The sequence below is a fragment of the Homo sapiens genome, chromosome 15 (assembly GCF_000001405.40).
Source record: "Homo sapiens chromosome 15, GRCh38.p14 Primary Assembly".
NCBI classification, from domain to species: domain Eukaryota; kingdom Metazoa; phylum Chordata; class Mammalia; order Primates; family Hominidae; genus Homo; species Homo sapiens.
The window spans coordinates 42,837,082-42,862,368 of NC_000015.10; the positions used below are offsets into that span (position 1 = coordinate 42,837,082).

General features: G+C 39.5%; 1 protein-coding gene across 9 annotated transcripts in view; it reads right to left on the reverse strand.

The window, feature by feature from the left end:
* The window catches only part of TTBK2 (tau tubulin kinase 2), a 182,271-nt gene that overhangs the window by 98,352 nt on the left and 58,632 nt on the right, over window positions 1-25,287 (reverse strand). For 8 of the 9 annotated variants that reach the window (XM_006720402.5, XM_047432189.1, XM_005254173.6 and 5 more), the window contains one exon: window positions 3,279-3,352. In XM_006720402.5, coding sequence (XP_006720465.1) covers window positions 3,279-3,352 — 74 coding nt within the window. Of the gene's footprint in view, window positions 1-3,278; window positions 3,353-16,437; window positions 16,460-25,287 lie in introns of those variants that run through there. The other variant, XM_017021950.3, reaches the window with a different exon arrangement.

The following is a 25,287-nucleotide window of genomic DNA, read 5'->3' on the forward strand; positions in this document are numbered from 1 at the left end:
GGGCGCGGTGGCTTACGTCTAGAATCCCAGGGCTTTGGGAGACCGAGGTGGGCAGATCACCTTAGGTCAGGGGTTCAAGACCAGCCTGGCCAACATGGTGAAACCGTCCCTACTAAAAATACAAAAATTAGACAGGTGTGGCGGCGCGCACCTGCAGTCCCAGCTACACCGGAGGCTGAGGCAGGAGAATCACTTGAACCTGGGAGGCGAAGGTTGCAGTGAGCTGAGATCACGCCACTGCACTCCAGCCTGGGTGACAAAGCGAGACTCCATCTCAAAAAAAAAAAAAAAAAAGGCCAGGCATGGTGGCTTACGCCTGTAATCCCAGCACTTTGGGAGGCCGAGGTAGGTGGATCACTTGAGGTCAGGAGTTCGAGACCAGCCTGGGCAAAATGGTGAAACCCAGTCTCTAATTAAAAACATAAAAATTAGCCAAGTGTGGTGGCGTGTGCCTGTAATCCCAACTACTTGAGAGACTGAGGCACAATAATCACTTGAACCCAGGAGGTGGAAGTTGCAGTGAGCCGAGATTGTGCCACTGCACTCCTGCCCGGTGACAGAGTGAGACTCTGTCTCAAAAAAAAAAAAAAAAAAAAAAAAGGTTCAGGGATAGCTGCTTAAGGAAATAAAACTAGGCTGGCTCAAGAGTTAGTGAATCACATGACTCAGAAAGACCTTAAGATTATAGTCTACAGACGTTAGTATCTTTAAATCTAAATGAAATCTGAAGGATGGCTGAGGGAAACAAGAAAAGCCTCCTGATGAGAAAAGGAAGCATTTAGGCCAGGATCTATGTCTCTAGAATCACTGTTATTTAGATAACTTGAAAGAAAATAAAGAAACCTGCTGGGCGCGGTGGCTCACACCTGTAATCCCAGCACTTTGGGAGGCTGAGGCAGGCGGATCGCCTGAGGTTAGGAGTTTAATGCCAGCCTGGCCAGCATGGTGAAACCCTGTCTCTACTAAAAATACAAAAAGTAGCGAGGCGTGGTGGCGACTACCTGTAATCCCAGCTATTCCAGAAGCTGAGGCAGGAGAATCGCTTGAACCCGGGAGGCGGAGGTTGCAGTGAGCCGAGATCGCGCCATTGCACTCAGCCTGGGTGATAGAGCGAGACTCTGTCTCAAAAAATAAAATAAAATAAAATAAAGAAACCAAATGCCCAAAACAACGTTTGCTTAAGATGAAAAGAAATACTGAGAATTCTAGATCTAGGCAGCAAGATCAAGATGAACCATGGTTTTTAAACTTTGAGGGTGACTATAATTCAGGGTGTGTGTGTGTGTGTGTGTGTGTGTATGTGTGTGTTTTCAGGGTCAGAGGTAGTGTCAGAAAAAATAGAAAGGTTTCCCTCTTCTCCCCACTATAGCCATTATTCCAATATTCCTTTTCTGAATTTCTTTCCTCTGCTCCCTCGACCTAACTCCACTACCATCTAAAGAACAGGGAACAGGCTGGGGGCAGTGGCTCACACCTGTAATCCTAACGCTTTGGGAAGCCAAGGCAGGCAGACCACCTGAGGTCAGGAGTTCAACGCCAGCCTGGCCAACATGATGAAATCCCATCTCTACTAAAAATACAGAAATTAGCCGGGCATGGTGGAGCACAGCTGTACTCCCAGCTACTTGGGAGGCTGAGGCAGAAGAATCGCTTGAACCTGGGAGACGGAGGTTTCAGTGAGCCAAGACTGCACTACTACACTCCAGCCTGGGTGACAGACCAAGACTCCATCTCAAAAAAAAAATATACAGGGAACAGAGTTATGTTACTGATGAAAAGAAAAAGAAAAAGGAATGGCATTTCTCCTCTATCTCAACTACTGCTTAAGTTTCAAGTAGACAAGACTTGCTATGGTTTTTTTCTTTTTCAATATTTATTTTAGGTTCGGGGGTATATGTGCAGGTTTGACACATGGGCAAATTGTGTGTTGCTGGGGTTTGGTGTGGAAACGATTTTGTCACACAGGTAGTGAGCACAGTATCCAACAGGTAGTTTTTCGACCCTCATCCTCCTTCTTTGCTCCACCCTCAAAGTAGGCCCTGGTGTCTATTGTCCCCCTCTTTGTATCCATGTGTACTCAATGTTTAGCTCCCACTTATCAGTAAGAACATGCAGTATTTGGTTTTCTATTCCTGCATTAATTTGCTTAGGATAATGGCCTCCAGCTGCATCCATGTTGCTGCAAAGAACATGATTTCATTCATTTTTATAGCTGTGTAGTATTTCATGGTATACACGTACCACATTTTCTTTATCCAGTTCACCATTGATGGGCATGTAAGGTTAATTCCACTTGTTTGCTATTGTGAATAGTGCTGCAATGAACACATAAGTGCATGTGTCTTTCTGGTAGAATGATTTTATTCCTTTGGGTATATACCCTGTAATGGGATTGCTAGGTTGAATGGTAGTTCTGTTTTAAGTCCTCTGAGAAATCTCTAGACTGCTTTCCACAGTAGCTGAACTAATTTATATTCCCACCAGCAGTGTATAAGTGTTTCCTTTTCACCACCATCTCACCAGCATCTGTTATTTTCTGACTTTTTAATAATAGTCATTCTGACTGGTGTGAGCTGGTGTCTTACTGTGGTTTTGATTTGCATTTCTCTAAAGATTAGTGATGTTGAACATTCTTTCATATGCTTTTTGGCCATATATATGTCTTATTTTGAGACATATTTTGGTGTGGAAGTGGGGTAATCTTGGAAGTAGGTTCCTGATAAAAAGGATGAGCTGGGACCCCTTCTTCACCTTCCTTGCTAATGTGCATACTTACTTGCACTTCCAACTTCTACTATGGAATGATGCAGCAAGAAGTCCCTTGCAAGATATGGGTCCCTAGATCTTGGATTTTCCAACCTCCAGAATGGTAAGAAATAAATCTCTGTTCTTTATGCATTACTCAGTCTTGGGTATTCTGCAGCAGCACAAAACAGACTAAGACAATACTTTAGAATACAAATGGAAAACTGGAACCCCTAAGGTAATGAAGGGTGGAAGGGGCAAGATTCACATTATATCCCCTCATCCATGCAGGGATCGAAAACTGCAAAGATGACAATCAGTAAAGATACAGGTCAACTCAAATAGCGGACAAAGACAATTATTTCATTTTTGGAAAATCTGTATCAAGTCTGTTTAAATACAGTTCCATCTGCATAGTATAAAACATTCTCACATGGTACTAAGATTGTTGTTACTTTTTATTCATATTCACTGTAATTGTATACTTTGATCAAAACTGAAGAATTTAAAGATACGTTTTCAAGGTAACCTACCTGCAACTGCATGACCACATAGTTGAATCGATCATTCCTCCCACAGCCAATAAATCTACAAACATGGTCTTTCCCTGGATAAAAAAAGAAAACAGTGGAAAAGAATATACTATGGTTTCTCTTAAAAAATTAATAATTTGCTTTTCTGTATAGTGTTTTATGATTGAATATAAAATACATCTTGAGAACCTTAAGGATAGAAAACTTATATTATTCAAATTTTCTACCTACCTCTTCTCCTCCCAGGCACTGTACTATTCCTTTGTGTGGTCAAATAAATGACTATTTGAATGAATAAATAAACAATATATGAATGAGGAAACAAATGTATGGTAACTTATTTAGGGAGGAAAAGATTAAGTGGTCAATTCAGATCAACCTGCCCAGATACAATACATATGAAGCCACAGAAGAGCAATAAAAAAGAACTATGTTAGGAATATAAACCCTGAATTTCAGATATGTTATGGTACTCATTGTTATGACTTCAGCAAGACAAACAATCTTTCTGGGCCTCACTGATGTGGATTAGCCCAGTGATTTTCAACCTGAGTTCCATCTGAGAAACCCAAAAATGTGCTGGCTGGGGCATAGAGGGGAGCAGGGGTACAGCAGAAATCTCATTAAAGAAAAGCATGCAAAGACCCCCCAAAAGAATTGAGCCACATATATTGGTTAGTGTTTTTCAACCCTGGCTACTTATGAAAACCAGCCGGAAAACTTTATTTTTGTTTTTTGACACCACTGACCCGAAGGCAGTGGAAAACTTTTTAAAGATTCCTCAGTTCTATATTGATTCAGAATCTGTGGAGAAAGATAAAGAATATGAGCTTTTCAAAAGTTCGTTGTTATTTTTTATTTTTTTGAGACAGGGTCTCACTTTGCTGCCCAGGCTGAAGTGCAGTGGCAAGATCTTGGCTCACTGCAACCTCTGCCTCCTGGAGGGCTCAACTGATCCTCCCACCTCAGCCTCCCGAGTAGCTGGGACTAGAGGTGTGTGCCACCACACCTGGCTGATTTTTGTATTTTTTTGTAGAGATGGGGTTTTACCATATTGCCCAGGCTGGTCTCAAACTCCGGGGCTCAAGCGATCTGCCCGCCTCAGCCTCCCAAAGTGCTGAGATTACAGGCATAAGCCACTGCACCGGGCCTCAAAAGTTCTTTAAATGATCCTAAAGCAGGTAGGGCATGGATAGAGATTTGAAAACTACTGCAGGGTAATGAGAAGTATCGAAAAGATTTTAAGATAAAGAATAACTACTAAAACACTGTGGCGGCAATGAGGCGGGTAGACCACAAGGGTGTCAATTCTAGCGGAGAAGGTCACTCTGGGGGATAGTTACAATATCCACGAGAAAGAATAAGGGGATTAGAGATAGATAAAATAAGATAAATCTGACCAATATTAAAGATGTAGTTTTTTACTAGAATTGGCAAAATTAAATGAAAAGTTGTATCAAAATATGAGAATATAGTAGGCTGTATAGATTTTAAGGGATACTAAAATGTTGAATTTTAGGACAATCAAGTGAATTCAGTAGACATTGTAAGTTCAGGCCTGGTGCTAAGACCAAAAGGCAGAGCTCCAGATGTACACTGAGGAACCATTAGTTCATGGACAATACGTGGAAGGTTGACAAGTAAAAGAATGTAATATAAGAGGAAAAGAAACTTAAGCACATAATTTGGAAAATGAAACATTAATTATTATTATTATTTTAAAGACAGGGTCTCAATATCTTGCCCAGGCTGGTCTCAAACTCTGGGCTTAAGCAATCCTCCCACCTCAGCCTCCCAAAGTGCTGGGATTACAGGCATGAGCCACAATGCCTGCCCTAGAAAATGCAACATTCAAAGCATGAGCAAAAATAAGAGTCCCTCAAGGAAATAGAGGAATAGCCTGAAAGATAGGAGGAAACTGAGAGAGCCGTATCACAGAAACCAAGGGAGAAGAACACTTTATGAGGGCAGAAGTGGACATTGACAAGTACATAGAAAGGCTGAGAAATACTAACATAAACCGGAAGTCATTAGTGAGTCAAGGGGCAGAAGCCAGTTTATAATGGGTTAAAGAGTAAAGAGAATATGAAATATGAGGGCAGACAGCCTTTGAAGGAGCTTGCTTGAAAGTAAGGAAGAGTAACAGGCCAAAGCTTGAAGATGAAGATTTGGTGGACTGATGAAACACTAAAAAAAATTTGCCTCCTAACTGACTTAAAACATAAATACAATTAAGACTCAGCAAAGCCAGGTGCAGTGGCTTTGCCTATAATCCCAGCTACTTGGGAAGCTAAGGTGGGAGGATTGCGTGAGGCCAGGAGTTTGAGACCAGCCTGGGCAACATAGCAAGACCCCTTCCCCTAAAAAAAAAAAAAAGACTCATTTTTTTGCACCTGTGTTATCAACCAGTTACAAGACTGTTCTCTCATTCTCTATGTTTTTGTTTATAAAGGGGGTATAAGCTAGCAAGAATGGGTGCAATGGAGAACACAATAATTCACAATGTACACAGTACATGTTGATCACTTAACATGTATTTTACATATATTTGCAAAATAGTGTTATCTATTACATTGTAGTAAGAATGAAAGGATAAAATGATGGTCATTAGCAACTTACTCTTGTCCTCCAGCTTCAAAGAAACAATAAAAAATAAGTTAAATAGTGTTTTCCTTGTATTATCCATCCCTTAAGACTACTTTTCTGTCATGTACAGGGACCGTATCTATCTTGTTCTGGTACTAAAAACACTTTTGCAAAAACTGTAACAGTGAGAGACATCCAACATAGCTGACTCTATCTTGCTTCTAACATCACAAGCTAACTGCCTTTGCTCATCCCTACACACAGGCCAAGCTGGCTATGGGAGGAATTTAGTTTACAGTTTAACTTTAAAGCAAGGATGACAATGGCCCCTTCTCAAAACAAACCCACTCTCTGGCGACAGAAACTGCTTTTATAAAACTAATGAAAGGCCAAAAACGGGATTACGGTAGGGGCCTGAATTCTGTTAAGGTTTAGGTATAAATAATAACTAGTCATTGTTTCCTAACTTGCCTTTTTGTAATTGCCTACTACTCAGGAGTCACTAGCTGGTGGTGATAAGATTTGTAACTTCTGGCTGGGCGCAGTGGCTCACGCCTGTAATCCCAGCACTTTGGGAGGCTGAGGCGGGCAGATCATGAGTTCAGGAGTTTGAGACCAGGCTGGCCAATATGGTGAAACCCCATCTCTACTAAAGATACAAAAATCAGCCGGGCATGGTAGCGCATGCCTGTAGTCCCAGCTACTCAAGAGGCCGAGGCAGAAGAATCGCTTGAACCCGGGAGGAGGAGGCTGCAGTGAGCCAAGATTGCGCCGCTGCACTCCAGCCTGGGCGACAGAGAGAGACTTGGTCTCAAAAAAAAAAAAAAAAAAAAAAAAGATTTGTAACTTCTCAATTGCCCCTACTGATAACATTGCTATTGTGAAACCTAAGACTGGTGTTTGAGATATTTTTTAGTGGACCAACTGACACCACCCAGGCGTCCCCCACCCAGGGAATGACTCAGCACATGAAGATAGTTTCAATACCCCTGTGATTTCATCCCCAACTCAACCAATCAGCAGTGCCCATTCCCTAGCCCCCTGCCCACCAAACTATCCTTAAAAACCCAGTTGTCAAATTCTCAGGGAGGCAGATTTGAGAAATATCACACATCATCCTCAATGAGCCACACTGCAATTATTAAACTCTCTGCTGCAACACCAGTCTCAGTGTATTGGCTTTTTCTGTGCAGCAGGCAAGAAGAACCTGCTAGGCTGTAACAGTACCTGGCACAATACCCACAATACCTGGCACAGTAAAGAGTGATTTAAATGCTCAATGAATATGTGTAAATAAATGAATAGAATAATGGCTAATAAAACATGCATAATATGGGCCAGGAGTAGTGGCTCATGCCTGTAATCCCAACACTTTGGAAGGCTGAGGTGGGAGGATTATTTCAGTCCAGGAGTTACCAGCCTGGACAACATGGCAAGGCCCCAACTCTACAAAAAATACAAAAATTAGCCAGGTGTGGGGGCACATGCCTGTAGTCCCAGCTACTCAGGAAGCTGCAGTGGAAGGCTCAGTTGAGTCTGGGAGGTCAAGGCTGCAGTGAGCTGTGATCATGCCACTGACTCCAGCCTGGGTGACAGAGTGAGACCCTGTCTCTAAATACATAAATAAATAAGCATGATATGCACACATAATATGCAAGCATTTTATGCCAGTCTCTATATCAAGCATGTTACATGCATTTAATCCTGCCAATAATGTAAGTATTATTATATTCTCCATTTTTCAAATACAGAAATAGAGGCCTAGGGAGGTTACTTTGTCCAAAATTACAACCAGAACATGAAGCAGTTTAATTCCAGAGCCTTTGCTCTTAACCATTATGCCCAGAAATGACAGAAACAGATTTTAAAATCATGTAACACCTTGTCTATAAGTATTAAAACTAAAAGGGAAAGAAAGACTGTGACAGAACAGAAACAGGACGACCTACTATATGCCAAGCACTAAACTAGGCACTAGAAATACAAGATAAATTAAGTAAGATCCATGCCCTCAAAGAGTTCACAGCCAAGATACGTAAACAAAAAAAGTAATACAGTATGAGTTCTATAATATTATACATAAACTGCTATGGATATAAAGAAGATTCAAAAATTTGGCTTATGAGGCTTCACATAAGCATTAAATCACTAGATTTTACAAGTTTTTGAGAAGAGTATTCTAAAAGGTCACCCACAAAGTCATAAAGGATCTAAGTACATGTGATAAATAATTAATAGAGCTGACAGGCTAGAGGACTTGATACGAGTTAAGGTGGGCTGAGGTGGGAAGTAGGATCAGACAAGAAAAGTAAGCTAAAACCTTATATGCCACTGTGGTATACAGTTGTCCCTTGGTATCCATGGAGGACTGGTTCCAAGACCTTCCTTGGATACCAAAATCCACCAATGCTCAAGTCTCTGATAAAAAATGGGGTACCTGCCAGGCACAGTAGCTCACGCCTGTAATCCCTGCACTTTGGGAGGCCGAGGTGGGTGGATCACCTGAGGTCAGGAGTTCAAGACCAGCCTGGCCAACCTGGTGAAACCCCATCGCAGTAGGCACCTATAATCCCAGCTACTCAGGAGGCTAAGGCAGGAGAATCACTTGAACCTGGGAGGCGGGGGTTGCAGTGGGCCGAGATCGCACAATTGCACTCCAGCCTGGGCGACAGAGCAAGGCTGCATCTCAAAAAAAAAAAAAAAAAAAAAAAAAAAAAGATGGGGTACTATTTTCCATGTAAGCTAGGCACATCCTCCCATATACAGTCAGGCTTTGCAAAACAACAGGGATATGTGCTGAGAAATGCATCCTTGGGTGATTTAGTCACTGTGCAAACATCATAGGGTGTGCTTACAAAAACCTAGATGGTCTAGCCTACTACATGCCTAGGCCTATATGGTACAGCCTATTGCTCCTAGGCTAGAAACCTGTATGGCATGTTACTGTATTGCATACTATAGACAGTTATACCACAACGGTTAAGTATTTATGTACCTAAACGTGCAAAAGGTACACTAAAAACATAGTATTATAATCTTATAGGACCACCGTCTGTCACTGAACAAAATGCTGTTGTGTGATGCATGACTATATATAATCTCTAGATTACTTATGATACCTAATACAATGTAAATGCTATGCAAATAGTTGCCATACTGATTGTTTAGGAAATAATTACAGGAAAAAAAAAAAGTCTATACATATTTAGTACAGACGCAATATTTTTTTCCTAATTTTTTTTCTTTTTTCTTTCTTTTTTTTTTTGAGACAGTCTGCTCTGTCACCCAGGCTGGAGTGCAGTGGACTGATCTCATCTCACTGTAACCTCTGCCTCCCAGGTTCAAGCAATTCTCGTGCCTCAGCCTCCCAAGAAGCTGGGATTACAGGCGTGCACCACCATGCCCGGCTAATTTTTGTATTTTTAGTAGAGACAGGCTGATGGCCAGGCTGGTCTCAAACTCCTGATCTCAAATAATACCCCCACCTAGGCCTCCCAAAGTGCTGAGATTACAGATGTGAGCCACCATGCCCAGCCTTTTTCCTAATAGTTTCAATCTGTGGTTGGTTGCATCCACAGATGTGGAATGCATGGATGTGGAACCCACTGACAGGAACAACCAACTATAATATGAAATATATTTAGTCTCTGTCCCTGGTACTTGTCACCTGGTTTCTAAAACTTGTGGAATTTTCTGAGTGATAGAAATGTCTTTGTTATTTATTACTCTTTTGATAACACCTGAGTTTATGTTAATCAGGTAACTTGGACGAAGCCCCTATATAATCAGGACAGGGGCAGTCACCAGAAAGACAAAGTGCTTAGAGGAGAGGATTGGAACTTTCAGCCTCACCCACCAACCTCCAGGAAAGGTGAGTGGGAGGGGCTAGAGATTAAGCTCTATAAAGACTCTTGAACAATGAGATGTGTGAGCTTCTGGTTTGCTGAATAAGTGGAAGTGCTGGGGGGGTGGCCTACCCAGAGAGGGCACAGAAGCTCCCCACTCCCCCATACCTCACACTTATCCATCTCTTCATCCAGCTGTTCATCTGTATCTTTTGCAATATCCTTTTTAATAAACTGGTAAACATGTTTCCCTGAGTTCTGTGAGCCATCCTAGCACGTTAATCAAACCCAAGGAGGGGGGAATCAAGGGAGCCCCAGGTTGCAGCCAGTCAGAAGTACAGTTTAAGCCATTCTAATGGTGTGCAGTGGTATCTCACTGTGCATTCTCCTAATGTTTAGTCATGTTAAACATCTTTTCATGAACTGATTTAACACTCTATATCTTCTTTGAAGTACCTGTAAAAGCTTATTAAATATTTTTAATTGTTTGTTTTCTTATTGTTGAGTTTTCAGAGTGCTTTATATATTCTGAAAATAAGTCCTTTGCAGGTGATTTGCAAATATTTTTCTTCCACTCTGTAACTTGTCTTTTCATTCTCTTCATAATGTCTTTTGGAAGCAAAGTTTTTAATTTAATGAAATCCAAATTATCAATTTTTTAATTTTATGAATCATGCTTTTGTTGTCATTTGACAAGCTTCTTGCCTAAACTCAAGTTACAAAGATCTTCTCCATGTTTTCTTCTAAAAGTTACACAGCTTTATATCTCACATTTAGATGTGTGGCACATCTTAAGTAAATTTTTGCATAATGTGTGTAGTTTAGGCGGAGGTTCATTACTTTTGTAAAAGGATGCCTGATAGTTCCAACACCAAGACTGTTCGTTTTCCACCAAATTGCCTTTGCAACTTTGTAGATTATTATTGGCCTTCTTTGTGTGGGTCAGCCTATGTCCAAAATCTCTATTTTATTCCACTTGATCTATATGTCTATCCCTTTGCCAATACCACAGTCTTGATTATCCTAGTTCTGTACTACGTTTTAAAATCATATAGTTTCTTTGCTTATATTTTATATTTTTAGACAGGATCTCACTTTGTCACCTAGGTTGGAGTATGGTGGCACAATCATAGTGCACTCAAACTCCTGGGCTCTGGCAATCCTCCCATTTCAGCCTCCCGAGCAGCGGGGGACTACAGACATGTACAACCATGTTGAGTTTATTTTTTTTTCTTAGTTTATAGAGATGCGGGTCTCACTAGGTGTTTTTTAATTGACAGAAATTATACATTTTTATTGTATAAACATGATGTTTTGAAGACATGTATACATGATGGAATGGCTCAAACTAATAACATGCCTCACAAAGACATTTTTAATAAGAATACTTAAAATCTATTCTCTATGTGATTTGATTTTTTTTCCAACATTCTTCTTCTTTTTCAACATTGTTTTGGCTACTCTAGGTCCTTTGCCCTTCTATATTAACTTTAGAATCAGCTTCTCTATAACTACAAAAAGTACTGCTGGGATTTTTATTATTATTTCATTAAATCTATAGATCAATTGGGGAGAATCAACATCTTTACTATAGTGAACCTTCCAATTAATGAATATGGTATGCCTCTCCATTTATTTAAATCTTCTTTTATTTCTTTAATCAGGGTTTTATAGTTTTCAGCATACAGAATATATACATATACTTTTTTTTTTTTTTGAGACAGAGTTTCACTCTTGTTGCCCAGGCTGGAGTACAATGGTGCGATCTCAGCTCACTGCAACCTCCACCTCCCGGGTTAAAGCGATTATCCTGCCTCAGCCTCCCAGGTAGCTGGGATTACAGGAATGCACCACCATGCTCGGCTAATTTTGTATTTTTAGTAGAGACGGGGTTTCTCCATGTTGGTCAGGCTGGTCTCGAACTCCTGACCTCAGGTGATCCGCCCACCTAAGCCTCCCAAAGTGCTGGGATCACAGGCGTGAGCCACTGTGCCCAGCCCAGATCTGGCATATATTTTGTTACATTTATACACTATGTACTTCTTTTGGAGTTACTGAACTTTTTAAAATTCAGTTCTCAATTGTTCATTGCTAGTACACAGAAATATGGTTGCTTTTTGTGGCCTGATCTTGTATCACTTGCTAAACTCACTTATTCTAGGAAGTTTTTATGATTCTTGGGATTTTCTATATAGACAATCATGTCATCCACAAACAGGAACAGTTTTATTTCCTCCTTTTCAGCCTGTATGTCATTATTTCTTTATATATCTTTGCTGCACCAAACTCAGTCTCATTCTGGATTGCTGATGACACAAATGTAAGATGTTTTGATATTATCTCATAGGTCACTGAGGCTCTGTTTTTTTTTTTACATGTTTTTTCTTTGTTGTTCAGATTAGATCATTTCTACTGATCTGTTTTCAAGTTCACTGAATCTTTCATCTATCATGTCCATTCTGCTATTGAGCCCATTCAGTGAGTTTTTTATGTCTGTAATTGTACATCTTGGGTCTAAATGTTCCATTTAGTTGTTCTTTATATCTTCTATTCCCTTGCTAAGATTGTCTATCTTCCTGCTCATTCTTGTAGCAAAGTCATAATGGCTGATTTAAAGTCTTTTTAATATAATTTTAACATCTGTATGATCCTAGCATTGGCATCTATGTTCTATCTTTTTCTATATGAATTCAGATTTGTCTGATTCTTTCTAAGCTGAGTGATTCTAGGTTGTATTCTGGACATTTTGAATATTATGTTATGAGACTCTAGGTCTTATTCAAGTTCCACCAAGAATGTTGGTATTTTTGCTTTAGCCAGTAATTGACCAAGTTGAGTTCATGCTTCAAGTTCTGACTGGCCTTCTGTAGGTTGTATTTCTAATGTCAATTCAGTTTTCAAAGCCTTTGCAGTTATATTTAATGTGTTCCATAAGTACCCCACGTGGTTTCCCATTTGGGATGTGGGCAGTGGTCTATCCCATAATTCAATTCTCAAAGTCCATATATGCTGTTTAGGATTGGACCCATGCATGCACAGATTGGAGGTCAGCTCAGGAGTCCAAAAGCAACTTTAGGTGGTCAGTGTTCCAAGTTCTTCCCTCTTCTACAATCTTTCATTTCACTGGGGCTCCCCTTTTCCAGTCTTCCAGCAGAACTCTGGGGCTTTACTAACACCACTCTGCAGAGTACTTCCCATGACTGTGCCCACATCAGGCAGGGCCAAGCAACAGAACGGCAGAGGGAGAAAAAAAGCAGTGGGGATTTTCCCAACTCTCTTCAGACCACAGTTCCTCCCATCTGAGAAGAAGGATCCTCTCCCTCTATTTTAGGCTCTTGCCTGCCCCCATTGAGGCCACTGCAGCCACTGTCAAGGACTGTTTGAGGCCCGGGTATAAGAGAATAAAGAAAAGAAAAAAAGAGAGAAAGATGTAGGATTTCCATGCTTTCTCTGGGCATTAGGAGACCCCTTTCCTCCTCCTTGAGTCAGAACTAGAAGACTTCTCTCGACGCATTTTCTGTCCATGTCAATGCTCACTTCCAAGTTGCAGGATACATTAAGTTCAGGCTGGGGTATACTGGAAGAAAAAAATGGTAAACCCACTGCTGGTTCAATGGTACTTTGAATTTTGGTCTTCTTCCCCAGTCTGTCTCCTACAATTTACTTTTCAGAGTCCTCAAATAGCCACTCCAAGAATTTTGCCCAGGTTTTTAGCTGCATTCAGTGGGAGAGACAGAGTGAAGTGCGCTTACTCCATCTTATCTGGAACCAGAACCTGGACTACTGTTTTTCTTAACAAACTTTGTAGAACTCATTATTTTAAACTACTTGTATAACCTGGATCTTAATTAAAAATTAAAAATAAATCCTGTAATAATCTTATTGAGGAAGAGGGAAAAAGCAAGTTAGTAGAATCACAATTTTTTTAAAGCATATACACTTTTGGACATTATATCTATGTGAAAAAAAGTGAAGTTCTTAATTGTACTTTGCTTCTTGTCTTTGAATCTTGTATGACCTGTGGACTTTTATAAATATTAGGACTATTATACATTTTTTAAAAGAAGAAAAAAAAGCAGGAATTACCCAAAGTGTGAGAAAAAAGAAGCAGTTTGCAGGTGAGAGGCTGTAAGCCTTAAGAAACTGAAAATATGGCCAGGCGCGGTGGCTCATGCCTGTAATCCCAACACTTTGGGAGGCTGAGGAGGGTGGATCACGAGGTCAGGAAATTGAGACCATCCTGGCTAACACAGTGAGACCCCGTCTCTACTAAAAATAAAAAAATAAAAAAATAAAAAAATAAAAAAATTAGCCGGTCGTGGTGGTGGGCGCCTGTAGTCCCAGCTACTTGGGAGGCTGAGGCAGGAGAATGGCATGAACCCGGGAGGCGGAGCTTGCAGTGAGCAGAGATCATGCCACTGCACTCCAGCCTCGGCGACAGAGCAAAACTCTGTCTCAGAAAAAAAAAAAAAAGAAAGAAAAGAAACTGAAAATAGTTCAGGATGACCAGCACTCTGGGTATAAGCCCAACATTTTCGACAGAAAAAGCAGAAGAAGCAGGCAGGGGTCGGTTCAGTGTTTTGTATGCCATGTTACAGTGTGTGGACTTTACATGAGAAAAAGAAGATTATGAATAGTTTCTACTAAAGGCTGGGGAGTGACATAACTGTTTAGTATGTTAGAAGGATCACTCTTGCAGCAAAACATTCAGGTGAATAGAAAATAAATCTTAGTGACTGAATTTAAGGGACACAGTGAGTTGCAGAACAGCATATATAGTTTGATTCCATATGTTGTTGTGGAAGGTGGGTAATGGAGGGGGATTTTATATATACATACATATATAAACATATGGATGATTATATATTATTTTAGATATATGATTTTCTATATGTGTGCGTATATATGTGTATATATATATCTATACATAGATATATAGAGCTGATTATAATATGCATAGAACATTTCTGGAAGATACACAGGAAACCGGTAACAGTAGATAACAGTGGGGAAGAAAGTGAGGGGCTTAAAGGAAACTTACTTCTCACTTTATTCTGTTGTGTTGATTTTCAAGTTTCTTATTGTGACCATTTACACTCTTAAAAATGTTTATTAGTGAAATGGAGGAAGGGTTTATGCACGAACTGGATATTAGTTATATATGAATGATACTAAAACAAGATAAAGTATCAACGAGCCTAACATTCAGTAGCACTGTTCTACCATATCGTTAGCACTCAAACAAGTAGTATAGATGTCCCGACACATAAGATATTACCAACTTTTTTTTTTTTTTTTAGATGGAGTCTTACTCTGTCACCCAGGCGGGAGTGCAGTCACGCGATCTCGGCTCACTGCAACCTCTGCCTCCCAGGTTCAAGTGATTCTCCTGCCTTAGCCACCTGAGTAGCTAGACTACAGGTATGCACCACCGGGCCCAGCTAATTTTTGTATTGTTAGTAGAGACGGGGTTTTACCATGTTGGCCAGACTGGTCTTGAACTCCTGACCTCAAGTGATCCACCCACCTCAACCTCCCAAAGTGCTGGGATTACAGGCGTGAGCCACTGTACCCAGCCATTACCAACTATGTATACATTAAGTTCACAACACAAAATAGCTTTTAATTACATTACAATACAATGGGTATAAAGGGAAAAAGTAAAATATCTTCTCCTTTTCTGACTCCTCTGATTCTAATCACCTCAGGGGCTTCTTGAGTTATATGTGATTCCAAATGTTCTTTGTGCATATGGAGCATATATAAATATGTACGTGTGTTTTCAGGCAAAGACACACATATTCTATTCCATTTCAAGGAAATAGACCTCTGCTCCTTAAAATAATCTAGACCTATTCTCTACATGTCATTTTTCTAAATGAAAGCAGAGTAATGAGTAAACGAATCCTCAAGCCTACAGATAATGTTACATCTTCCAAGGAGAAAAACGTGAAAATGAACGTATTCAACAGATAGTTCTCAGAGACCTCCATACACCCTTTGGTGGAACAATGAACATCAACAAGGACAAGCAAAAAGTTACTTTAGGAGAAGAAAAATGCAGAGGATGAAATAAACAAAAGAGTAGATTATATGTTTACATAAGGTTAAAGGATAGAATGAAGGGTAAGGATGTATCCCTAATCTTTCAGGTCCCAGTATGTAACTATTATGCCCTCCCACAAAAGGTCCCTGTGGAGCAATTTTCACAGTCTTCTATACTGGATAAACCAGTTGTCTAATCCAGAAATTACATATTTCTTCTATTCTTATGACTGGGAAAAAGGAGCAGTCATACTTTGCAGCAGTAGCTGGAGACTTCAGGGAAGTCTCCAGGGAAGGCAGAACAGGTGCAGTTCCTCTCCTATAACAGTAACAGTAATAGTTACTTCTCCTGTAACAGTAACCAACTCTCAGCTTGTGCTCTGTAGCCTAAAAGGCAAAAATAAAATCCAGGACCAGTATTTCAGGGTAAAAAAAAAAATCCCTGAAAATCAAAGCAAAAGCATTTCCTCTTCATGACCTATAAAGAAAAATGTAGTTTTTCCTGAATTTATATGAGGCAAGACAAATTAATTCCCAAATATCTCAACTGAGAATAAAATTGTTTCATTATCAAACAATGACATTTATTCTGTTATTTTTTGGTATTAGTTGGACCTCCACTCACTTTAGATGATGGAAAGGAGAAAAATTTAAAATAATTAAATAATCCTTCAATTAATTACCTTCTCATCCAAGGGAAAAAACAGAAAAACATCAGTTCTACTCAGGATGGTACACTGAAAAATGAAAAAGTACAAGAGATGATGCTGATCACTCGCAGCATAAAGAGCTAACATGGAAAAGAAGGGCCAAACAACTTTCTATTCATCACTGACTTAAGTAGTGATTTTTAAATATAACCAACATCGTCAGATTGAACATACTATGGAGCGAACACACATAAGAATAAACGAGCACACCTGTAATCCCAGCTACTCAGGAGGCTGAGGCAGAAGAATTACTTGAACCTGGGAGGTGGAGGTTGCAGGGAGCCGAGATGGCACCACTGCACTCCAGCCTGGGCAACAGTTGAAGGCTCCGTCTCAAAAAAAAATAAAAAATAAAAAATAAATGAGAAATCAGATCTACAGAATATTTTTTTTTTATTTATTTACTTAGACACGGGGTCTCACTCTGTCACCCAGGTTGGAACACAGTGGCATAATTATGGCTCACTGCAGCCTTGATCTCCTGGGCTCAAGTGATCCTCCTACCTTAGCCTCTCAAGTAGCTGGGTCCACCGGCGCACATGATTACAGCTGGCTAATTTTTTTATTTTTTGTAGAGACAGGGTCTCTCGCTATGCTGCCCAGGCCGATCTCATACTCCTGGGCCTCAAGTGATCCTCCTGCCTTGGCCTCCCAAAGTGCTAGGATTAGAGGCATGAGTTACTGCACCTGGCCTACAGAATACTTTTAAAAGAAAAACATTTTGTTATGCTCAAGTAAATATTTATATACCAATTAGAAGCCAGTAAATGATGTATAAACTTTTAAAGATCCTAAGAAGATTTCCTTTGATAAAAAGATACACTAAATATAAATACAGCAAGTCCTCATTTAATGTCATTGAGAGGTTCTGGGCTTTAAGCAAAACAACATGTAACGTAATTCAGTCCTTGAAAAACCTTATTGAGTTCAAAGTCATTCTGTCATAACGTTGGTGAGGAAAAACAATTGGTTTTGTTATACGTTGTTTTGCTTAAAGTTGCAGTTTCCAAGAACCTACTGAGACTTAAGTGAGGACTTACTGTAATAGGAATTTTACAATATTCTGAATTCCTAAAACATTAGACCAACCTATATGCAAGAGAAAAAAAAAAAAAACCTCAAATCCTTAAACCAAATGAAAATTTCCTGGAAGATCCAAGGGACTGGCTTCCATTATAATAAAGAGTTGACTGTCTATATGACACGGTCTTGGGACTCGGAGCCTTAGTCATCCAAAGGTAACTGTCAACGAGTATTTATAGCACTCTTCAGCAAATTATTACAGAACCTCAGTATTTATTTTTCTTACTCAGAAAAAAAATCAACAATAAAGTTTATGAAGTAAATAACCAGAAATGGAATAGGTATGTTATCCTATCTTCCCACATCAATTTACAAATGTATGCTATAATTGAATATAAAGATACTTTGTGCTGTTATTTTGCCACTAAGCATAATATAAAAGTCAAGTTTAAATATACATAATCTCTGCTTTTTAAGAGGCCTACAATTTAAAAGAAAATACAAATTTATTTCTTTATTTATTTTTGAGATAGAGTCTCACTCTGTTACCCAGGCTGGAGTCCAATGGCGCAATCTCGGCTCACAGCAACCTCAGGCCTCTCGGGTTCAAGTGATTCTCCTGCCTCAGCCTCCTGAAAATTTATTTTTTTAAGTATCATAACACAAGTTGAAAAGTGCACAAGATAATAAACAAGGCAAAATACAGTCCTTATTAAAACCTATTGAGAGAAGTGTGTTAGCCCAATAGCAATTAGTACCCTAGTGGTCATACTGTGGTCTCAATTGTTTCCCAATACAAGGAAACAGAGTTACTAGGAGAAACAAGGCTCCTGATTCTGAATATGGCACAGAAAAAGTTTAAGGAACATCTGAAATACTCTGCTGTGCCAGAAAACAAGGATGACATCAAAGAATACTGGAGTTATACAAGAAGAACACAGAAGCCAATGCAAAAGAGCTTCTACTGGTGAAAGATACGAAATTTAAGCTTCAAAAGGATAATGATTTCAATGGTTTGAAATAAAATACAGAAAAAGGCATGAGTTCATAATGATACTCAAAACGAAAAACAAATCACTGGTCATATAAGGCCACAACTTATTTATTTATTTATTATATATTGATTTATTTATTTAGAGACGGAGTCTTGCTGTCGCCCAGGCTGGAGTGCAGTGGTGCGATTTCGGCTCACCGCAGGCTCCGCCTCCCGGGTTCACGCCATTCTCCTGCCTCAGCCTCCCGAGCAGCTGGGACTACAGGCGCCCGCCACCTCGCCCGGCTAATTTTTTTGTATTAGTAGAGACGGGGTTTCACCGTGTTAGCCAGGATGGTCTCGATCTCCTGACCTTGTGATCTGCCCACCTCAGCCTCCCAAAGTGCTAGGATTACAGGCGTGAGCCACCATGCCCAGCCAAGACCACAACTTATTATTCTGAAAATTGATAAACAAAAGAGAAGAAAACTCAATCCCTTTATCCTGTCCTTCCTATACTAACTATATTTCAAGGGAAACAAATGATGGAATAACATTCTACTTTGTAGAATAATTCCAGTTAAGGAATTTAGAAGGAATCAGAGAATTAGGAAAACCACCATTTTGCAATCCCTAATGAAAACAATGAATGTAGGTGATAAATTCTTCCCAACAATAATAACAGCATGAATCTCATTAATCCTCTAGATCTAATTAGGAGTTCACAAGAAATATGAAGGATGGAAGAACACATTAAAAGACACCACAAGGATGCAATCAGCCATATCCAGATTTCGGACTATTTTATCAAACTAAGAACTTCATTCCTTCAACAAAAAAAATGTGAAGGCAAGGGAAAAAAAAAAGTAGGTGAGAACAAACTGTGACATGGCAACAAAATATAATGCAATGTGCCTGCCTTGTATATAAATCCTAATTTGAACAAAGCCACCTGTAAAATGATATTTTTGAGACAATGGGAGAAATTAAATACTGGATAGATATGAGATGGTATTGTAAAATAACGGTTAATTTTGTTAGGTTTTCAATACCACTGTGTTCACATTATTAAGAAAAGAATCACTTTGGGAGGCCGAAACAAAAAGATCATTTGAGGCCAGCAGTTCAAGTTCTCAACATAGTGAGACCTTGTCTCTACTTAAAAAAAAATTTTTTTTATGAAAAAAGAAAAAGAATCCCCTAATGTAAACTGTGGACTTCAGTTAATAAAAATCTAATGCCAGGCGTGATGGCTCACACCTGTGATCCCAACACTTTGGGAGACTGAGGCGGGGGATCACCTGAGGTCAGGCATTCAAGACCAGCCTGGCCAACATGGCAAAACCCTGCCTCTACTAAAACTATAAAAATCAGCCGGATGTGGTGGCACACACCTGTAATCCCAGCTATTCAGGAAACTGAGGAAGGAGAATCTCTTGAACCTTGGAGGCAGAGGTTGCAGTGAGCTGAGATCACGCCACTGCACTCCAGCCTGGGCAACAGAGTTAGACTCTGTCTCACAAAAAAAAAAAAAAATCTATCAATATTGGTTCATCAGTTGTAACAACTGTATCACAAGAATGCAAGATGTTAATAATAGGGAAAACTGGATGGGAAGTCTGTATACAGGAACTTTGTACTTTCTACTCAATTTTGTGTAAACCTAAAACAGTTCTAAAAAGTAAAGTCCAGGGCCAGGTGCAGTGGCTCATGCCTGTAATCTCAGCACTTTGGGAGGCCAAGGCAGGAGGATTGTGTGAGGCCAGGAGTTCAAGACCAGCCTGGGCAATATAGCAAAACCCCATATCTACAAAAATTTTTTTAAAAAATTAGTTGTGCATAGTGGCATGTACCTGAAGTCCCAGCTTCTGAAGAGGCTGAGACAGAAGGATTGCCTGAGCCCAGGAGTTCAAGACTGCAGTTAGCCATGATTGTGCCACTGTACTCCAGCCTAAGCAACAGAATGAGAACCTGTCTAAAATAAAGAAAAAAAAAAAGTCCATTCATTAAAAGAAAGAAAAACTGAGAACGTGGGTTTCCTCTCCAATGAGTCTCTAATCCATTCTTAAAACTGGTCACCTGAGGAAATTCTACAGCCTATTATTTTACTTTTCAACAATACAGATCCCTCAAATTTCCCTAATGCTTAACACAGCTACTTCTAATACGTTCTTACATAAAAACTTTCATACAATTTTTTTTTTTGGCAATGGATAAGTGGCAAAAACTTTCTATGCTCTAGTAAGTACAAGTTAATGGGGCCAGGCTCTGTGGCTCACATCTGTAATCCCAGTAATTTAGGAGGCTGAGGCAGGTGGATCACCTGAGATCACGAGTTCAAGACCAGCCTGGCCAACATGGTGAAACTCTGTCTCTACTAAAAATACAAAAATTAGCCAGGCATGGTGGCACATGCCTGTCGTCCCAGCTACTAGGGAGGCTGAGGCACAAGGATCACTTGAACCTGGGAGGTGGAGGCAGCAGTGAGCCGAGCTCACAGTCCAGCGACAGAGCAAGACCTTGTCTCAAAAAAAAACCCAAAACAACAACAACAACAACAACAACAAAACCAAAGTTAATGGATTCACAAAATCACCAATCATCAACTAAGCTCTCACAGGCAAAGTAATGTCTGCCAAATTTTGATACATCTCCAAACACCCCCTACCCCATCTCCACAGATTCTCTGACTAGAAACTAGGAACACAAATCTATAAAACAAAGTATATTTATCTATAAAGAATATTTTCATTACAAAAACAAAGGAGCCCCCATTTGTTAGACAGAGATACATACTCAAAAAATTATATGACGTCTATAATTTATTTTAAAGTACTCCAGAAACGTGGGGAAAAAATGTTGAAGGGGTAGGATATATTTGCAACAATATTGGCCAAAATGCTGATGCTTATTAAGACTGAGCTGAGTTTTGGATACATGAATGTTCATTATATAATTCTATTTTGGTACATATTTAAATTTTTCATAATAAAAAATTAGAGTAAGGGACTTCATTTCCAGTTCCACAAGTGAGGAACATGGAAGCTGCCATGCCATTCTATCAACAAGTACAAAGCCGAACAAGTGAAAAAATCACCAACTCTTCTTAGAGCAAACTGCTGCCTCCAAAATTGGAAAGAGAGATGGGCAGACACAGAGAGTTATGACATACCAGAGCAGAATCATACACGGGAACCAGTGCCAGAGTAGAAAAACCTGAATTGCAACTGACAGATTGCTGGAGGCTAGGTGTCAACAAGCCCAATACTTTAAAACTTCAGGGGTACCTAGTCATAGGTATGTTCCCTGAAATTTACAGAAATATTAGACAGAAGTCATGCTTTTGTGAGTTTTATCTCCAGGAGTTCAACTAGTTTTTTACAGTATATATAGGAGAAAAATTCCCTCATGCTTCCAGCAGGGAGAAGAGAAAAGGAACCATTTTTAAATATGCCACAGCATTCTGTTCTTCCTAACAAGGTCTGCCCTCAGGAGAAATAAGTTAACTACACCTAACCTGCTGGAGTTTGTTTTATTTATTTATTTTTTATTTAATTTTAATTTTAATTTTTGTATTTTATCAGGCAGGGTGTTACTCTGTTGCCCAGGCTGGAGTGCAGTGGCATAATCACAGCTCACTGCAGCCTTGACCTTCTGGGCTCAAGTGATCTTCCCACCTCTCAGCCTCCTGAGTAGCTGGGACTACAGGTGCACACCACCATGTCCAGATAATTTTTTGTATGTTTTGTATAGGTGGGATTTCACCACATTGCCCAGGCTGATCTCAATCTCCTGGGCTCAAGCAATCCACCCACCTCAGCCTCCCAAAGTGCTGGGATTACAGGCATGAGCAGTGCACCATACCTGGCCTGGGGTTTTACTGAAGCTTAATGGATCTGGCGGAGAGGAAATACCCAAATGCAACCCATTCTAACTATCCTGTCTCACCTAATGGGGTGCGGGGGGACTAGAAGCACTTAGGAGGTGCTTCACAGTCCAGAAGTATAGGCACACTAAAAAACTGAGAACTAATAATAGGACTATGGAATGCCTCCCCTCTCTCCACCCATTACCACATTACTAACAGTCTATTTTTGGCATTTGCTTTTATGCAGTACATTATGTCTAGCCATCAAGAAAAATATACAAGGAATACTAGAAGGCAAAAAAAACACAATTTGAATAGAAAAAGCAAATAAATATCAGAACCAAACATGGCAGGGATGTTGAAACAATCAGATCAGGAATTTAAAACAACACTGATTAATATGCTGAGGGCTCTAATGGATAAGGTAGACAGCATGCAAGAAGAGGTGGGTAATGTAAGCAGAGATGAAAATCCTAAGAAAGAACGAAAAGAAAACACTAAAGATCAAGAACACTGTAACAGAAATGATGAATGCCTTTTATAGGCTTATTAGTAGACTGGACACAGCTGAGGAGAAAAAAAAAAGTATCTGAGCTTGAGGATGTATCTACAGAAACCTCCAAAAGAGAAAATCAAAGAGGACAAAGACAAAAAAAGAAAACAAAGAAACAGAAGAAAGGATTAAGGAACAACTATAAAAGACATAACACAACCATACACAAAGGGAACACCAGAAAGGAAAGAGAGAAAGGAACAGGTAACTATATGAATCAATGACTAAGAATTTCCCCAAGTTAATATCAAACACCAAACCACAAATCCAGGAAATTCAGAAAACGCCAAGTGGGATAAATGCAAAACAAACAAACAAACAAAAAACCCCAAAAACCTACATCTAAACATACTATTTTCTAGCTATCAAAAATCAAAGATAAAGAAACAATTCTGACTCTGAAGAAGCAGTTTGAAAAAAAAGAAAAAATTCTGAATGAAGCTAGAGGGAAAAGAAAAACAAGCCTTACCTATAGAGGAACAACAACAACAACAACAAAAATTAGCCAGGCACAGTAGCTCATCCCTGTATCCCAACACTTTGGGAAGTCAAGGGGGTTGGATCGCTTGAGCCCAGGAGCTCAAGACCAACTGAACTCCTTGAGCCCAGGAGTTCAGTTCAGGCAATAGTGAGACCCCATCTCCACAAAAAATTAAACCTTAGCTGGGGTATTCTTTCTTTTTTTTTTTTTTTTTTTTTGAGATGGCATTTAGTGCTACACTAAATGCCTTTACACTCCTGTTGCCCAGGCTGGAGTGTAATGGCGGATCTCAGCTCACTGCAACCTCCGCTTCCCAGGTTCAAGCGATTCTCCTGCCTCAGCCTCCCAAGTGCACCACCATGCCTGGCTAACTTTTTGTATTTCTAGTAGAGATGGGGTTTCACCACGTTGGCCAGGCTGGTCTTGAAGTCCTGACCTCAGGTGATCCACCCACCTCAGCCTCCCAAAGTGCTGGGATTACAGGGATGAGCCACTGAGCCTGGCCTAAAGCTGGGTATTCTTATATCAGACAAAACAGAATTTAAACCAACAACAATCAAGAAGGACAAAGAAGGGTATTATATAATGATAACAGGTTCAATGCAGTAAGACTTAACTATCCTAAATACATATGCACCCAATATTGAAGCATCCAAATTCATAAAACAAGTTCTTCTTGACCTATGAAAAGACTTAGCCCCACAATAATAGTGGGAGACTTCAACAGCCCATTGACAGCATTAGACAAATCATCAAGGCAGAAAACTAACAAAGAAATTCTGGACTTAAACTCGACACTCAACCAATTAGACCTAATAGACATCTACAGAATACTCCACCCAATAACCACAGAATATACATTCTTCTTATCTGCACATGGAACATATTCTAAGATTGGCCACATGCTAGGTCATACAGCAAGTCTCAATAAATTCAAAAAATCAAAACCTAGCACTCTCAGACCACAGTGCAATAAAAATAGAAATCAATACCAAAAAGATCTATCAAAACTACAAAAATACATGGAAGTTAACCTAGTCCTGAATAACTCATGTGTGAACAATGAAATTAAGGCAGAAATAAAAAAATCATTGAAATTAATAAAAATAGAGACACAACTTACCAAAATATTTGGGATGCAGTTAAAGCAATGTTAAGAGGAAAGTTTGTAGCACTAAATGCCTTTATCAAGAAGTCAGAAAGATCTAAAATTAACAATCTAATATCTTGCATAGAATAGAAAAAAAAAGAGAACAAACTAATCCCAAAGCTAGCAAAAGAAAATAAATAAATAAAATCAGAGAAGAATTGAACAAAATTGAGACACAAAAATCCATACAAATGATCAATGAAATAAAGAGCTAATTTGTCAAAAGAATAAACAAGATTGACAGCACTAGCTACATTACCAAAGGGGGAAAAAGAGAAGATCCAAATAAGCACAATCAGAAATGACAAGGATGATAACTGATCCCACGGAAGTACAAAAGATCCTCCGAAGTTATTATGAACACCTCTAAGCACACAAACTAGAAAATCTAGAGGACATGGATACATTCCTGGAAACACACAAACTCCTAATATTAAACCAGGAAGAAAGTGAAAACCTGAACAGACCAACAACAAGACTCAAAATTGAATCAGTAATAAAAAACCTACCAACCAAAAAAAGCTCTGAACCAGACAGATTCACAGCCCAATTCTACCAGCTGCACAAAGAACTGGTATCAATCCGACTGAAACTATTTAAAAAAAAAATGAGGATGAGTGGCTCCTCCCTAATTCATTCTATGAAACCTGCATTAGCCTGATACCAAAATTTGGCAGAAACACAATAAAAAGAGAAAACTTCGGGCCAATATCCATGATGAACACAGACACAAAAATCCTCAACAAAATACTAGCAAACCAAATCCAGCAGCACA